At 36.7% G+C, this 19,354-nt stretch overlaps 1 protein-coding gene across 1 annotated transcript in view; it reads left to right on the forward strand.

Moving 5' to 3' along the window:
• The window catches only part of TUSC3 (tumor suppressor candidate 3), a 434,904-nt gene extending 417,351 nt beyond the window's left edge, over positions 1-17,553 (forward strand). The window contains exon 9 of the mRNA NM_001413685.1: positions 16,986-17,553. Within this exon, the coding sequence (NP_001400614.1) occupies positions 16,986-17,014 (29 nt within the window). The 3' untranslated portion in view covers positions 17,015-17,553. The remainder of the gene's footprint in view (positions 1-16,985) is intronic.
• Positions 17,554-19,354: the final 1,801 nt, after the last annotated feature.

The raw sequence follows: 19,354 nt of genomic DNA on the forward strand, positions 1-19,354 counted from the left end.
CTTTTTAACAAGTTTTCATTAAGAATAACAATACATTTTATTATATGCCTTTTTAGCAGCTGGGTAATCATTGAATTTTCTTTTTTCTATGGATATGGCATATTTCATATATTTCCTATCATTGAAACAACTTTTCATTCCTAGTCTTATTGAGTTAATTCATTCAGTATTCTGTTGGCCTGTTTTTCTGGTAATTTATTTATACAACCTACTTTAATGATTAAGGTCATTTCCTTTTCTTTGTATGCTACCATTTACATAGTACAGTTTACCCTTGAACAACAAGGGTTTTTACAGTAAGGTTTATTTATAAGCAGATTTTTATACAGTATTCATGAGATGTTAAACTTGCATATACAGAGAACTGACTTTTCATGTGCACAGGTTCCCCAGGACTGGTTGTGGGACTTAAGTATGCACAGGTTAGGACATGCAAGGGTCATGTAACCAATCCCCCAAGTATAGGGAAGCATGACTGTAAGCTGGACTTTATGTCTCATTTACAACATTGTTACTTTCCTTTCATAAACAATTTTTTGGGGGATAATTTTCATCTTTCATGCTACTCTTCAGTAACTTTTAATTTTTCTTTTATGGTAACTCATCTTTTTAGACTTATCCTTTTTGAAATCACTTTCATAAGTGATATTTTTAAAGAAAATCATCCTTTACATTCAGGTTTGTAAACTTATTTACGTAGAGTTGAAAAAGTCATTTTCTATGATTCTTAGAATATCTTCTATGTCTCTGTTATTTTTCCTGTAGCAATTACTATTTTAGAATTTATGCTTTTTCTCCTTTTATTAATTTATATGAGGATTCAACTGTTTTGCTGATTTTTTTAATGGAAGAATTGGAATATATCATTAGTTCACACTTTTTCTCTTTTCTATTTCATTGATTCCTGCCTTTATGTTTATTTGCTAGTTTGGTTTTTTAATCTTGTTACTAACTTCTTGAGTGGGTTTTCTAGTAATTTTAATTTCTTTGAAGATTATAACTTTTTCTGAGCATTGTTTTATACATTCCCCTCATATCTTGTTGATAAGTTCAAGTTTTATTTTATTGTAACCAGACAATGTTGTTTTAAATAATTATAATTTATGGAATTTTTTGTACCTAATATGGTAAAATATTTTTGGAATGCTCTGTGCAGCTAGGAGAGAAGATACAGTCTCTACTTTCAGTGTGTATGGGGGATGTATGTGTGCGTTGTGGGGTTTGGAGAAGAGTGTCAATGTGTTCCACTTTATTAATTATGTGTTTAGGTTTTATAAATCACTTATTTTTTATTTACTTCATCTATCATGGACTGAAAGAATTATAATTTTCTGATATTGATGTATTTTTGCATATTTCTTCTTCTTACATTCAAAGATTTTGCTTTTTGATAGTTTACAGTGTATTTATTTAGTGTATGTAAGTTCCAAACTGTTCTACAGTCATTGCAAATTCCACTCTTTAGCTATATAAAGTAACTTTATTTCAGTTTTTTTCTGACTTGAACTTAACTTGGTCTTATATTATGATCAAAAGCTTTGTTTTCTTTCTGTTTGCATTTGCTTCATTTATTCTCATACTATTGTTTAATTTCATTATAAAATTATTTTTTTTTGTTTTCAAAATGGTATAATCACAAAGTTTAAAAGTAACACAGCTGGGCATGGTAGTACATGCCTGTAATCCCAGCACTTTGGGAGGCTAAGGTGGGTGGAATGCTTGAGGTCAGGAGTTCAAGACAAGCCTGACCATTGTGGTGAAACTCTGCCTCTACTAAAAATACTTAAAAAAAAAAAAATTGCGCTGGCGGGTGCCTGTAATCCCAGCTACTCGGATGCTGAGGCAGCAGAATCCCTTGAATCTGGGAGGTGGAGGTTGCAGTGAGCTGGGATCACACCACCGCACTCCAGCCTGGGCAACAGAGTGAGACTCCATCTCAAAAAAAAAAAAAAAATTAATATAAGATTGGTACTAGACATATATAAAATACATGGTTCTCTGTCTTACCCTTTTCCACTCCCTGTAGTCTAAATACGTTCTTTAAAATTTTAAATACTTTTTTGGTTGACTTCTTAGGACTGTAAACCTTTACAATTCTTTTGCGTGACTTCCTATTATATATTAATCTATCTATCTTCCTTCCACTTACACCATTTAAATAATCAAATTTTAGTTCATTTATATTGCCAATTAAATACATGTTTATTGTCACATATACTTTCACCTCTGTCACTTAATTTCTAACTTTAAATGATATGCTTTTAATTTTAGCTGTTAAAAATGGATAAACTTGCAGTTTTATACTTCTACTTTTCCTCTCCCTTCCCTCCCTCACTTTTTTGGGCTATATCATTTCTTGATTGTAAAGGTTTATAAGATATGAACACTGTTATATAACTGCAATTCCCACATTTATTGAAATCTTCACACTGAATTTAATAATAACTAGTTTTTTTTCTATGTTAAATAAGGTAGGTCTGATTTTTCATTCTTTTATCACTGTTTGTCTGACTGTAAGATTCTTAAGTCACTGCTTATTTCCTTGAGAAATGTTTAAAAGCTATTGTTCTACTGTCTGCTGGCAGTGTATGCTGTAGTGGATAAATCTGAGGCTGAAGGTAATTATTTTAAATCAAACGATAATTTGATTTTTTTCTCACATTTGAAAAGGGATTATGTCTTTTTTTTTAAAAAATCACGTAACTTATTAAGATAACTGAAATCATTCAGTTTTTTCTTATGGCATATGTGCTTTTCCAAACTGTAAATTGAAGCATTTATTTATTTCTCAAGAGCTTTATTGTACTACACATTTAAATGTATTGGATTATGTATTAGTTTTTATTGTCATTGTTTCTTTTTGTCAGACTAATTATACGTACATTGGATCTCATCTGCCTTTCTTCTGTATCTATCATTTTCTTTTATTCTTTTAAATTCTTTATCAAATTCCATTTCACTTTCCTGATTTTCGTCTTTCCCCCATGTTCCTTACTGTTTAGCAATATTAATCATCATTTGTGTTGCTTCTAATTTGTCCCGAAGTTCTGTGATTTTTCCCCTTCCATTTTCTGAGATCTGCCAGCCGAACTCACATTTAATCTTTTTCTGTTGTCTTGTTATCACTCACCTGACTTTCTCTGTCTTTGTTTAGTGTTCTAGCTTCAGAGTCAAATTGACTAAATTTTTTTAATTCATGGAAGGCATTTTATAATAACTTTTGTCTGGCCTGTAACAACCATTTTCTGGTGAGTATTCTTTGTCTGCCATTTATTTTTGCTTTTTCAAACCCCATCTCTTCCTGTAGTATCTTGGTTTAGAAGTTATTTTGACTTCTTTTAAAATTATTTATCAGTTTTTAAAATCAGTTTTTCTTTAAACAAATCTTTACCAGGAGTTTGCATGAAAGAAGAGTCTAAGGTTGTATTCCAGACTGGCAGGAACTGCAATCATGACTTACTATTTATTCTCTTATGCTTTACTTCTTTGCTAGTGGATGGAGATAGCCAATTCTATAGTTGTTCATAATGTAAAGTCTCTCTCTCCCTCCAGTTGTATCAATAGACCACCTCCTGCGAATATCACTTGTCTAAAAGAGCCTTTGTCTGTGCCCTGAAAATATCTTCCTAGCCTGTGCACAGATTTTGTTATTGTAAGCAAGAAATTTTGGTTTAGCACCTCCGGATATATCATTTACCTTTGAGACTTATACTTTGCATTTATGGGGATATTCACCCAATGTGAACTTTCTTGGATTCATTTTGCACCCCATACCAGTGCTTGGAAACCATCCCAAATACTTTGTCATTCAGAGTTTTAGAAGGCTTCTATTTTAATAAAGTCATAACTATAATGCCAGGATAGCTCAGTTTCCAGATTCAACTATATATCATGACTGTGACCCACCTTCTACCATTACCCCTCTTTTCAGAGTTTTGAGTGATAAAGTCTCCACGTTCAAATCCAAATGTTGGCCCACTTTCAGCTCCAGGAAGTTGACCTTTCAATGGAAACCTTTACTTTAAAAAAACTCAGGAGCTAGCCAGTTTTCGCAGCACCATTTATTAAATAGGGAATCCTTTCCCCATTTCTTGTTTTTGTCAGGTTTGTCAAAGATCAGATGGTTGTAGATGTGTGGTATTATTTCTGAGGGCCCTGTTCTGTTCCATTGGTCTATATCTCTGTTTTGGTACCAGTACCATGCTGTTTTGTTTACTGTAGCCTTGTAGTATAGTTTGAAATCAGGTAGCGTGATGACTCCAGCTTTGTTCTTTTGGCTTAGGATTGTCTTGGCAATGCAGGCTCTTTTTTGGTTCCATATGAACTTTAAAGTAGTTTTTTTCCAATTCTGTGAGGAAAGTCATTGGTAGCTCAATGGGGATGGCATTGAATCTATAAATTACCTTGGGCAGTATGGCCATTTTCACGATATTGATTCTTCCTACCCATGAACATGGAATGTTCTTCCACTTGTTTGTATCCTCTTTTATTTCACTGAGCAGTGGTTTGTAGTTCTCCTTGAAGAGGTCCTTCACATCCCTTGTAAGTTGGATTCCTAGGTATTTTCTTCTCTTTGAAGCAATTGTGAATGGGAGTTCACTCATGATTTGGCTCTCTGTTTGTCTGTTATTGGTGTATAGGAATGCTTGTGATTTTTGCACATTGATTTTATATCCTGAGACTTTGGTGAAGTTCCTTATCAGCTTAAGGAGATTTTGGGCTGAGATGATGGGGTTTTCTAAATATACAATCATGTCATCTGCAAACAGGGACAATTTGACTTCCTCTTTTCCTAATGGAATACCCTTTATTTCTTTCTCCTGCCTGATTGCCCTGGCCAGAACTCCAACACTATGTTGGATAGAAGTGGTGAGTGAGGGCATCCCTGAGTGAACAGGCAACCCACAGAATGGGAGAAAATTTTTGCAATCTACTCATCTGACAAAGGGCTAATATCCAGAATCTACAAAGAACTCAAACAAATTTACAAGAAAAAAAACAAACGACCCCATCAACAAGTGGGTGAAGGATATGAACAGACATTTCTCAAAAAAAGACATTTATGCAGCCAACAGATACATGACAAAATGCTCATCATCACTGGCCATCAGAGAAATGCAAATCAAAACCACAATGAGATACCATCTCACACCAGTTAGAATGGTGATCATTAAAAAGTCAGGAAACAACAGGTGCTGGAGAGGATGTGGAGAAATAGGAACACTTTTACACTGTTGGTAGGAATGTAAACTAGTTCAACCATTGTGGAAGACAGTGTGGCGATTCCTCAGGGATCTAGAACTAGAAATACCATTTGACCCAGCCATCCCATTACTGGGTATATACCCAAAGGGTTATAAATCGTGCTGCTATAAAGGCACATGCACACATACGTTTACTGTGGCACTACTCACAATAGCAAAGACTTGGAACCAACCCAAATGTCCATCAATGATAGACTGGATTAAGAAAATGTGGCACATATACACCATGGAATACTATGCAGCCATAAAAAATGATGAGTTCATGTCCTTTGTAGGGACATGGATGAAGCTGGAAACCATCATTCTCAGCAAACTATCGCAAGACCAAAAAAACAAACACCGCATACTCTCACTCATAGGTGGGAACTGAACAATGAGAACACTTGGACACAGGAAGGGGAACATCACACACTGGGACTTGTTGTGGGGTGGGGGAAGGAGGGAGGGAAAGCATTAGGAGACATGCCTAATGTAAGTGATGAGTTAATGGGTGCAGCACACCAACATGGCACATGTATACATATGTAACAAACCTGCACGTTGTACACATGTACCCTAGAACTTAAAGTATAATTTAAAAAAATAAATCAATAAATAACCACACACACACACAAAAACTCAGGAGCAGAAGCAAAGAATGAAAAGTCTTTGAGATATGTAGCAAGAAACTAACTCCAAGTCTAGGAGTAAAGAGCCTAGAAAGTTCAAAGATGAAATTATTTTAAAATGTCAATTTAGTGAAAGAATAAGATGCTATTAGGGCATGGAAGAGAAAAAAGGATGGTAGGTTTCTAATTTCTGAAGTTTCTTAATTCCTAGTTAAAAATCAATAGTTTTATAATCTGGTATGAAAAAAATAGGTCCTGCTCAGAAAGTCTCAGAATAAATAGAAAAACACTTTTAGCCTGTTTTTCTAGAGAAAATTCCATTGTGCTTATAATTTTTATCCTTTGAAAGAAACAATAATGGCTGTCTCTAAATTTATCATCTATCCACTTGGATGCCAACGCCAAAGTGAGAAATAAAAATTTATGCAGTCCCTAAGCCTAAGTTAATGACATAAACAAGAAGTAAAGTCAGTAATTTAATGGCAAATGCAGTGCTCATATAGGAATTAAGGTTGAAGTAAAAAATTCTTTTTGGTCCACTGTTGTATTGAAAGTGGTTGCTAGAGGACATGTATTTTGTGTGTTTCAAAATCCGTTATTAATGGGACTAGGAGTCCCTTTAGTCCAATTAAAACCTGTGTTTATATTTTCCATTAGTGGAAGTTGTTCCCTAGTTTGGCATTAATTATCACAGCCACGTAGCCAGTATCCAAATTTATTGTTCATATGTTCTTTGGTTGCAAACAGCTATATGTTTTATATATATATATATACACACACACATATATACATCAATCTGCTTCAGTTTCTGTATGTCCAGATACATAGTTCTAACTCTATATTCTAAAGGTTGAGTAGACTAGGAATTGGATTATATATTTTAACACAATTCATTGTGGTAATTAATACATTTCATGGAAATATGAAGTAAATAAATTTACTAGCTAAGGTCAAGTCCTCCTTCCTTTCTATTTGTATGCAGATTTTATTCATGTACATTTTATTCTAATATAATCAGCCAAACTGAACTACATTTTATTACTTTCTTAGAAATCTGTTATACTAATTATAATGCAAAGAATTAATCTTTCCTCTGTTATGAGACAAAATTTTTTTTTTTTTAGATGGCATCTTGCTTTGTCTCCCAGGCTAGCGTGCAGTGGCAGGATCTCGGCTCACTGCAACCCCTGCCTCCCGGGTTCAAGCGATTCTCCTACCCCAGTGTCCTGAGTAGCTAGGATTACAGGCACATGCCCCCACACCCAGCTAATATTTGTATTTTTAGTAGAGACGGGGTTTTGCCATGTTGGCAAGGCTGGTCTTGAACTCCTGACCTCAGGCGATTTGACCGCCTTGGCCTCCCAAAGTGCTGCGATTACAGCTGTGAGCCACCACACCGGGCCTAAAAATGTTATTTGTTTAATGTGTAACTACAAATGTACTTCTTTCACTCCATTTAGAATGAATTCAGCTTAAATACAAGCCATATATACCAAATCTAAGTGCTATCTATGACTTATTTTAAGGTTCTAAGTATTTCCCTGATGTGTTCTTTAAAAATTTTAGAAGACTACATGGTTGAATTAAACATAACCTATATAATGGCAATTTTAGTGACTTGCTAACTGGAATTTAGTTCCCAAGAATGTTACCCACGTTTCTTATTCCTCAGAATAATAAAATAATCAGTCAACACATGTTTTTTGAGCACTTACTGAACACAAAACCTTCTTCTTGGCATTGGGGATACATCAATGAACAAAACAGATAGAATCACTCCTTGTAAGAAGCTACATCCTAAGAGAACGAGTATGAATCCTTCCGACTTGGGTTAGAAGTGCATCCCGACTGATTATGAGCAGTGTGAACCTGGGTTGACTGGTCACTTAGCAGTTCTGACCGCCAGCCTCATCATCTATAAATCAGTCTTAATACTTACCTCATATGCTCACACTGTGAAGATTAAACTTGATATTGTACACAAAGCTCTTAGCACAGTACCTGGAATGTAATAAAGCCTTGACATGTTTTTCATGTCTCTATTTATTTATTTTATCCTGACAGTTAACAAAGGTTTCTGGATCAGAAGCAGACTGATTACTTATTGCTGATCTTAGCATCAGTTTCCCATCCGCAGTCCTCCATGGAGCAAAATGATGAGGGCAGATATTTCCTGTGCATGCAAAGCAAGATTTGTACACAGGAGAGAAAGAAGGCTTGCAATTACGAACCTCAGAGCTTATGTAGGAGCTAAACAGCTACCGTTCCTGCTTCCTAAGAAAAACAGAAAAATTTTTGGTCTGTGATGTAAACAAGTCTTCTCTGAGACAAACGCGAGAAGGTCCTTTGGTATTGACAATTCTTTGAAACATGAACACGTGGCACCAAAATAGAGGAAACCTGTACATCTCCCCAGGATATTTCACTGTTTTAGCTTTCACGGTTTTTACCATTCACTTATCCTTTCAGCCATGTTGCCAATAATTTTTGCTCAGAAAGTCATGACCATGCAGAACCATAAAAGTGTTCACATTGTTTTTTGACAGTGCTCAATAACCATGAATGATTATTGTTGTTATAGTAATTTGTAGCAACCACAGCCTGAGAACATGAGTATATTTCATGCTCCAGTCTCCCAAGGAAAGGAAGAGGAGCGAGGGCTTTGAGGAAATAACACATTCACTGCAAAATAACAGAATTTACTCTTATGATCTCTTCCTTTTCTTTCCTTTTATTTTAAGTACCTTCTCAAGAGTTTCTCTATACAGTAAGGCTCCCTAAACTTTATTTATGGCAAACACACTACAATACATTAGTTAATTGTATTCATTGCTAATGGGTGATCTGTACAACAGTATTCAAAAAATATGTTTTCTGATAAAAGTTTTTGGGTCAGATACGTTTGGAAAAGCTGGTGGAATATATCTTCCCTCTTGGATATTGTGTCACAAGACACAATACCATGCTACATGTTTTAAGAAATTCTGCAGAATGTTATTTAACTCTTCGATTTTTAAAAACTCCAAGTACTAGAAGAAAAACTTAAAGAGATGAATTTATAGCAATGGGTGTCTCAGATTCTTAGGCAGTTGGATAGAAGAGATAAAGTTGATGGTAGAATTTTCTACCATCTCAAAAATGACTTTACACAGGTGAACACCAATATAACACAACTTGATGTACATATATATATATATATATATATATATATACACGCACATACACATATATACATCTATATCTACATGATGTTTATAATTATCTATATCTATATGGTGTATATCTATATCTAAATATAAGATGTATATGTATGTGTGTGTTTGTGTATGATGTATATAAAACACCTGTGTTCCAGATTATATACTTAGTACTGGGGATACAAAGATGTCTTATGAAACATAGCTTTGTCCTTGAATATCTCATGTGTCAGTAAGATCTGTCCTGAACTGTTAATCCAACCTCTGATAAATAATGATGAAGTCTCAGGACAATTCTACCTTAAGCTGTATTTGTAGCATTTGTGTTTGGAAACTCAGTCTCTTTGGTTTATTGGGAGATAGAAGGAAAATCTAATTTCTACCAAATCTTTCAGAATTCCCTTCTCAAATATCCTAATCAATTTCAGCGAATCTGTAAGTTTATGACCTTGTCAATCTCTTCTACCTCTGAAGGAACAATGGTCCTGTCCCCTTGTTTCATTTTTGTTTTCTGGTGTAGCAGAATGCACCATGACAAACAATTTTAATGAAGGGATGGCAAAAAAAATATCTCTTTGTTGTAGTTTTTATTAAAGTTTTTCTGTGATTGTTTGGTTATGTCTTCAGTTAATGGAGTATGCAGAAAATTAATATAATTTACTTCCCTTAGTTATTAATTCAACAGATATTTATCCAGCATTTAGTATGCGTTGGGCACTGGGCTAGTTACTGTGCTTTCAAAGTATCAAAGGACAGAGCCTCAGTGATTAATAAGCTAAGAGTCTATTTGAGGAGACAGAAAAATAAACAAATAATATGTGGCCTAATAAATCAATGATAGGACTATTTTCAAGGCACAAACGGAGAACAAAAGAGTTATGATGAACCCAACTGCTGGCTGAGAAGAGAAAAATGAGATTAGAAAAAGATCACATGTCCATAACTCAGATTTATGTTACTTTTTTCCTGCCATTGGTGTTGCTAAAATGAAAAGACAATGGCTGTATATTAGTATATTAAAAATCTCCATTATTGCAATGGTAAAAGCATTGTAACCTCCAGTCACCTGCTGGTCCTAGGACAGTCATTCTTTAAATCTCTGTATTGAGATTAGCATGCCTACCTCATCAGAAAACCTGACAATATCTACTTTAGATTACCAACCTGTGACTTTTGATAGAACTGATACTGCCTCCGATATTTTAAAGCCTATCTACTCTAGAATCTCATTTTACATTAAAGCAATTTAATGTGGCAGCATGAATATGTGATACTCTGAGGACTATCCCTGAGATGATCGTGAGTGGTCTTAAAATATTTTCTACCACCTCTTAAAGAGATATATTACCTTGGCATTTCAAAATAATAAGAAAACTTAAAAAAATACAATAGAAACAGCAGAACAGAAAATGCAGTTAATCAAATGGAAATAGTACCACCTAATTAAAAAATCTCTTTTAGTTCAAGCCTATCTAAAAAGTTACTAATGGAGCTAGAGAAGGCAAAATCATAAGTTAGAACAAGAAGAAACCTCATCATTAACTTTAGGAGGTGATTTTAAGTCCCTCGGATAAAGCGTTGCTGTAGTTTGAGTGGTAAGTCTAATCAGATGTGGGCTAAGTATTGCCTTATGTTCTGCTCCAACCAGGTAGCCATGTGACCCTGCGCAAGGCACGTGAATTCTGCAAAGTGAGGAGTTTTGATTTAAGTGAGGGTTTCATGAGCTCTGGAATTCTTAATCTGGCAATAAGGAGTTTCAGAAAATCCTGAACTCCCTAGAATTGTATGAAAATTTGTATTAACATGCATATGTGCATGTTTTTCAGGGAGAGAGTGACCAAATTACATTAGATTATTTCCGTTCCCCAAAAGATTAACAATCACTGAACGAGATGATCTCTAACATTGTCTTGAGTCTAAAACATTTTAAGGTTCTGTGATTTTTACAGTTTAATATTTTGGTCACATTATCTCAGGGCACAGAAAGTATTTGGAGTGAATTGGGACCCCTGAAACAACTGACCCTTTTGTAGCCCTGAGTTGTCATTTATTTGCAGGGTGGGGGCAGTATTCAGTATTTTGTTCTGTTTGCTCTAGGGGTTTGGAAAAGTGAACACAATAGCCACAAGCCCTCTACTCATTTCCACTGTGCTTATTTCACTATAGCTACGTGTATGTTCAAACATTATAGGCCAGTGTTGTTAGTACTCATCTGTAACAGAATTACAAAACTGCTGTACTGGTCCATTTTATGCTGCTCATGAAGACATACCTGAGACTGGAAAGAAAAAGATGTTTAATTGGACTTACAGTTCCATATGGCTGGGGAGGCCTCAGAATCATGGCAGGAGGGGAAAGGCACTTCTTACATCATGGCAGCAAGAGAAAATGAGGAAGAAGCAAAAGCGGAAATCTCAGATAAACCCATGAGATCTCGTGAGACTTATTCACTATCACAAGAATAGCACAGGAAAGACTGGCTTCCATGATTCAATTACCTCCCCCTGAGTCCCTCCCACAACATGTGGGAATTCTGGGAGATATAATTCCAGTTGAGATTTGAATGGGGACACAGCCAAACCATATCAACTCCGAGGGCAATTCTACTTTTTCATTACTGTTGTTTTATATATAAACACTGAGATTCTTGCATTTACATATTCAACACAAGTTCACATGCCTCAGTTTTTCAAAAGGCTGCCTCACTTAAGAATGGTAAACACCAGTAATGCGATTATAGTAGAACCCATTACTGCTACTGAATATATACCCAAAGGATTGTAAATCATTCTACTATAAAGACACATGCACACATATGTTTATTGCAGCACTATTCACAATACCAAAGACTTAGAACCATCAATGATAGACTGGATGAAGAAAATGTTGCAAATATACACCAAGGAATACTATGCAGCCATAAAAAAGGATGAGTTCACGTCCTTTGCAGGGACATGGATGAAGCTGGAAACCATCATTTTCAGCAAACTAACATAAGAACAGAAAACCAAACACCACACGTTCTCACTCACTCATAAGTGGGAATTGAGGAGTTGAACAATGAGAACACATGGACACAGGGAGGGGAACATCACACATCAGGGCCTGTGGTGGGGTGAAGGGCTAGGGGAGGAATAGCGTTAGGAGAATTACCTAATGTAGATGACGGGTTGATGGGTGCAGCAAACCACCATGGCACATGCATACCCATGTAACAAACCTGCATGTTCTGCACATATATCCCAGAACTTAAAGTATAATGATAATTTGAAAAAAAAAAAAACACACACACAATTTAAGCCAAAGGGGGGAATAAATGATTCATAATAGGTGTTTCTTGTTTTCCACACTCCACAGGCATGCCTAACTCTCAGACTCACAAGCATCCTGATTTCAAAAGGAGTCTCTGGGCTACTTCAGCATAACGCCCTAGTCCATAACAGCACAGAATAGGGCCATGACTTTTGAAATTAGATATATCCGCAGTCCTCCACTCTGTCCATGGATTTCAAAGAGACTTCTGGGCAGGTCTGCATGTATTGCAGGGACTGGAAGCAGGGAGAGGCAGGGGAAGGACTTTGAACCCCTGGGTTGTAGCACATATGTGAGGGTGTGTATGAGACAGAAGAAAGAACAGGGAAGAGAATGTGATTTTATATGAATTCTGCATTAAAGAAAAATGATCTTGGCTGCACTTGGTTAATTTCTCTTTAATTGCTTTTGGTCTCCTAGACACGGTACATGATTCCTCTCATAGCCTCTTGTGATTTTGCAAACTTCTCTGTTGTGCAAAATCTCTCATTCACTCGAAATGTTTGGGTTTAAATCCATTTAAATAGCTGTCTCCTGTTGCCTCTTCCACTGTGCTTGACTGGGCTCCTGTTCTTCTTAGCAGCATTTCCTCACGCAAATACGTTCTACCTAGGTGACATCATTTTCTCTGCCCCCCTCTCAAATGGCAGGCTGTGATTTGTAATGGAAAGGGTAGGGATTTTAAAGTACTTTTAAAAAGCTCTTGTTTGGAAAGCTAACTTGTCCATTTTTAAGCTTTGTGATCTTCACAATATTTTTTAACTACTCTGAGTTCATGGTAGTAAAACTCCGAGGCAGAGTTTATATACAAATTATGGATCTCAATTTTCAATATATCTGCTTTTCTCATAGAGTAGCAATGGGGGCCATCTTTGTACCCCTGTATCTAACACAAGACCTGGAACCCAACAGGCTGTGAGTGAACGTTTGCTGACTGAGCGAATAAGCCTTAATTTTTTTTAAGCTAGGAATAATCATACCTGTGAGGTTATTGTGAGAAATAAATGAAATCATTCTTTCTTTCAGAAAATATTAATTGCTGCATATAAATCACCAATCAGTAGGCCTAGGACACAGTGGACATGCAATACATATTTATTCTCTTTTTCCTTTCTTTCTGCTTTTCAGGACTCACTATAGGAGGGTACTGGATGCATCCTCTTCCTTCCCCGTGCCAATACTGGCCTATTAGACTGTCCCCCTCCTTCCCCCCGAGTGAAGTAAGCATATATCGTCTGTGGTCAACCACAAGCATGCAACTTACCTGGCACCTCAGCTGTCATGGATCAACGACCTGCTTTCATCCTTCCCTGTGTAGGACAGTTCCCCAGGTGGCCTTGGACTGATCCAGTTCTCCCCTCTTTCTCACTTGTAGTTCTCAAGAATAACTGTAGAATGTGCTGACAATACAGCACCCTGTGATAACAGAGGAGCTGGTTGGAACAGGCTCTGTTCCAGCCCCTCACATCAGAAAACAGGATGTCTTTCCATGCTTTAGACCAGGGTGTCCTGCTTTGTGAAAAACCCAGGGCAGGCTGCTTTGTGGGATGCCTCAGCTGTGGTGCAAGTGGAGCATGTACAGAACAGACCCCATCTATCCCAGGCAGCTTTCTTGAGCTGGGGAACTGTTCCCTGCTGCCTGTCAGTAATAAACCCACTTCTACATGGTGAAACTCAAACTTAAACATTCTTGGCTCTGTGTGGGTGATCTGTCTTATGGACTCAGACAAAGTGGTAACCACTGTCCAGTGACAGTCAACCAGCTTCACACCTGCTGCTGTTACAGCAACCCAACAGTGAGACTGGAGTCCAGAATCTTCAACTTGGAGTCAGGGCACCTTGGTTTGAGTTGGTTTCTGTAATTCTATGAAAATAACTTCTTTGGGACCAACTTTTACATTCCTTAAAACAAGGAGGTTGAATTAGTTGATTTCTCAGGTGCTTCCTCTTTTAAATTGTAGAACTAATCTAGTGCTTAATCGCATAAACTACCTTTGTAGTACTTGCTTTTATTACAAGTATTACTTCTTTACCTCAATGGAAAACTTTTTACAGGCAGAAATTCTGACACGTATTTCTATATCCCTCACATGCCCAGAATACTTTTAATAAAGTAAGAGCTCAAATTCTTTTTCATTCATTAGCAAAATGACTAAGAACTTTTCAGATTTGTGTAATACCATATAGGGCTTAAAAAATCAAAGATACTACATTCGATCAAAATTCAAACATTCCATTTGGGGCATTTAAAACATTATAATGTAACGTATTCCACTTCGTGACGTATTCCATATCTAATGCCACATAATCTTTGGAAGCAGGTGTAACGTATTCCACCTCTAAAAATATTTAGAGGTAGTGATATTATATTTATGTCATTTTATACCTAAAACCAAACATTTAGAGTCACATTTACTTCCCAGTGGGGAGTTGCACAGACACAAACTTGATCACCCTGGAATTCATTTTCTGAAAGACATATGCCTTTCTTATAAAGATCTATCAGTTTTCAAGCAACGAAGTTTCCACATGGTGAAACTGAAAGTTAAGCTCTGGGGAAAAGTATTGTGTAAAATCTGTAGAAGATAAACTGAAATAAAATAAAAGACAAAGAAAGCCCAACTTAAAGAAAGCCACCAGGAGTTACAATCTCCCCTGCAACAAAGTGTGATTTCAACTGGGCATCCTTGGGCAAAGTCGACATGTTTCAGCCTCCCTCTCACACTAGCAAATCCTGTAAGAATGCCTACAGGGTAAAAATAAAGCTGGCTGTGATGAACCTGGGCTTTGCAGAGACCAGGGTAGTGCCTATCAACTCAGTGACAATGCTTTCTGCCCAAGCACAATGAACTGTTCCGATTTTATGGCCTTCTGTTAGGTTGAAGCCTACAAAAAAAAAAAGCAAAGCATCTTGAAATGAGACTTTGTGTGGCTCACTCCAGTGCTGAGCTCCAGTGATCCGGAGCATCACTCTCAAAGTGGCGAAGGAAAATAAAGACAAGGGAAGTTGCAATAAAGAAACCTGAGTGCTTAGAGCATTCTGTCCAAGTTGTTTTCCACTAAAGGTAACATTTGATACCATTCATCTTCGACTTCCTCTGTCTCCTCGGGGGCCCCTATTTCTACACCTGCTATCTTGGTCCAATTGTAGCTCTGACAGTGATTTATCAAACTCTTAGATCTTGTTTATCCTTTTTTTTTTTTTGCCATAGCTTGTTTTTCAAACATTAACTCTCTGAAATGTCCAGTATAACCTGCCTTTCCCAATAAGGTTTATGGTGCTCTAAGACTATGAACATAGATACTAAATCACTTAGTATTATGTAACATTAGTATCCATATAAAAGGTGTTATTTCATTCAGAAATGTTGTGGCAGCATCTTTAACCTCAAAGTATTTGTTCTCAGTAAATCTTCCCATTTTAGGTTTGTTCTCCCATAGTTGATTATATAAATGGCTATTCCAATTTAGTTATATTATTCACTATACAATAAATTTGACTTGCTGACATTTATATAATTATTTTCTGGTTATTTAACTCACAAGTACTATCTTCCTCCTAACACATTTATTGCTGAAATACTGTTTTGATTCGCTTCTCATATATTCAGTCCTATCACTTTGTGCAAATGTTCTCTCTTCTCATCTCTTTCCCCTATTTGTATTCAGTAGGCTATAAGTTACTGTTGGCTTTTGAAAGGTTCTATTTGTCCACCCTAAATTGTCACTCAACATTAATTAAAAGAATAAAATGAAACAATTTAGAAAGGAATGGGTGAGGTGATGATGACCAACTAATTTTAACACGAAGATGCCATAAAAAGAATTTTAAACAAAAATCTTAAAACGACATTGAAACCAAAAAAATGAGTGTGCTATATATTGTGAACAACATAAAAGGCCACATAATCTTTGGAAGCAGATCACTTTCATTTCTAGCTTCTATGAGTTGAAACCTCCTTCGAATTCCTGTTCTCTGTGTCTCTATTATTATCAAATAGTGCTCCCCTACACTGAGGAAGCTCTTTCCTTTCTGAGTACTGAGAGCTGGTGAGCATATTCTTCACTATACTCTAGGTCTTCATTTTAGTGGGAATGGTAGGTTTGCTGATTGGTTCTAGTGAACAGGTGTAACGTGTCTAAGTCAATGGACGACGCGACGCTTTTCGGAAGGTAACACCTTAATGGGAGCTCAACATTAATGATCTAAAAATATGTTTCATCCTCTGGCCTTCAAAATAGTTTCACTTTTGACTTGTCTAGTTTGACCAAAGCCTTGTTATTTTTCCAGTTCCCATTGTGAAAATAATAACAATAATTTATTCAACACATTATTTATTGAGCATCTTTTATAGGTGCCAGGGATACATCAATGAAAAAAGCAGACAAAAGTCCCTGGTCTTAAGGATCTTACATTCTAGAGAAAAAGGGACAATGTACAATAGGTAATTATTTTCCATAAAGTATAACGATGCGATGATAACAAATATTTATTGAGCAACTTACCATAAAATTACAGTGAATTATTTATATGCATTACATTGTTTAATCCTCACACATATAGAGAAAACTGCAAGGTGTGAACTGTTATTCTCATTTTACAGATGAAGAAACTCTGATTAGAGAGGTTTAAATAACTTGACCAAGACATGGGACACGTGAGCGTCATGGCGAGGGACTGAACCTTGATTGCTCTGACTTCAACTCCTGAGATTCTAACGATGGTCCTCCACCGCTGCTCAGATCAAGGTTAATGACATCTTCATTTCTACATTTCTCTGACATGTTGTATTGACTCTTCTTCATTTTGCTGTTAGCATTCCAGTATAAGCTTTCTGGTTGCTTCCTCACTGCATGCTGATATGATTTGGCTGTATCTTCACCCACATCTCATTTTGTATTGTAGCTCCCATAATTCCCACGTGTTGTAGGAGGGACCCAGTGGGAGATAACTGAATCATTGGGGAGGATTCCCCCATACTGTTCTCGTGGTAGTGGGTAAGTCTCCTGAGACCTGATAGTTTTATAAGGGGAAATCCCTTTTGCTTGGATCTCATTTTTTCTCTTGTCTCCCGCCATGTGAGATGTGCCTTTTGCCTTCCACCATGATTATGAGGCCTCCCCAGCCACGTGGAACTGTGAGTCCATTAAACCTCTTTTTCGTTATAAATTACACAGTCTCGGGTATGTCTTTATCAGCAGCATGAAAATGGACTAATACACATGCATTTCTAGCATCTCCTGCATCTGATGTAGTCACTTTATTACAATGAGAAGTGATATTCTCTTTGAGAATACAATGAGATAAATTTATAATTTCTGCATATTTCATTAGCTTTCCACTGTACACACATTTCTTTTGAAACCTTCATCTTGGCATTCAAAGGTCTCTTCAATGTCACATCAATCTACTTTTCCAATCTCATCTTTAAAAATCACCAATTCAGAATTTTCATTCAAGATTTACCATTTTCAGTCCTCTAACACAGAGCATGAAAACCCTAACTCTTGGGTCTGTTTTGCATAGATACAATTCCTTTATTTAAAACCTAGTTTACCACCGCTCCATAAGAACGTTTTTGACTATTCTGGTTCATGTTGACTTTTGCAGTCTCTGTTGTCCTGAAGTTTATCATGTAACTCATTTTATATTGTGATGTGTTTTGCAAGATGTCATTTTAAGAATACTAATTTCCAAAATTTTATGTCAGGAATAATAATTCCCAAAACTTTGTAAAATTTTAGGCACAACATGCATGTATGCAAGGCCAGCCTGAATAGCAGACAGCCGTAGGGTTGCCCTCTTTGCTCATCAGCACAACCACTCTTCAAATATCTTGACAGTGCTCCCTTCTTACCTCTCTACCTCCATTTTCTTTTAAATATGTGATAATTTATGCTTCCACTTCATCTCTGCCTTACTTTCCCTTGGATCCGCCTACCTAACGTTCTCATTTCTCATCTCGCTCCAGCACTGGTCCAAGGAAGGTGTGCTCTGGCAGTGCAGGTGGTGATAAGGGATAACGGAGGGGAAAATCCAAGCCTTTATCGAGCTCTTCCTTATCCTACACCTCTGTCACTGATTCTTTATTTCCAGGAATTATTCCGGCTTTGCCCTGTCTGCTTTGCCTCTTTCTCCTGACACAACACTCAATAATGCACTCTGGTCTACCACACCAAACTTGACAGTACTCTAGCCCAAATTTTACCTTTTTTTTTTTTTTTTTTTTTTTTTTTTTGCCGTTTAAGAGAACAGTGAAAATTTATCTTTAAGAATCCATGTGTAACCTCGTTTTTATCTACTGTGTCAATGGAGAGATCAACATTTCTTTCGGTATTGATTGAAATGGTGAGATGGAAAGGTGATAACGTGTACTAAATGCTAACAATACGCCAGGCAATATTTTAGGCATTGTATAGGTATTGGCTCGATAATCACTATAATCTGAGGAGATGGGTGTTGTAGTTACTTGTATTGTACAGATGTAGAACCTGAGGCATAGAATTAAGAAACTTGTCCCAAATTATACAAATATTAAGCAACAGGATAAAATATCAGACGATCTGGCCCCAAAGCCAGTTCTCCGATCCTCTGTGTTATGGCTTTATGTGCTACAACTTCCAACAGAAAGGAAGGAAGCACAAGTTCCCTAGAACTTTATGAGTAAAGAAATGATGTATCTAGGAGGCTGTCTAGGATAAGCAGTAACCCCAGGTGTTTATACAACATTTTACCCTTTGACTCTCTGAGGAGTTCATCTTTGCTCTTCACCCTGCTGGAGTCCTTGCCTCAGGCCAGAAGAGTTATCATCAGAGCCACGCAGGAGACAGTTAGCCCTTCTGTGTTGAAAAAATTGCTCTCTAGCCAGGCATGGTGGCTCATGCTTGCAATTCCACACTTTGGGAGAATGAGGCAGGAGGATCGTTTGAGGCCAGGAGTTTGAGACCAGCCTGAACAACAAAGACAGACTAG

This window comes from Homo sapiens, chromosome 8 (assembly GCF_000001405.40).
Source record: "Homo sapiens chromosome 8, GRCh38.p14 Primary Assembly".
NCBI lineage: Eukaryota > Metazoa > Chordata > Mammalia > Primates > Hominidae > Homo > Homo sapiens.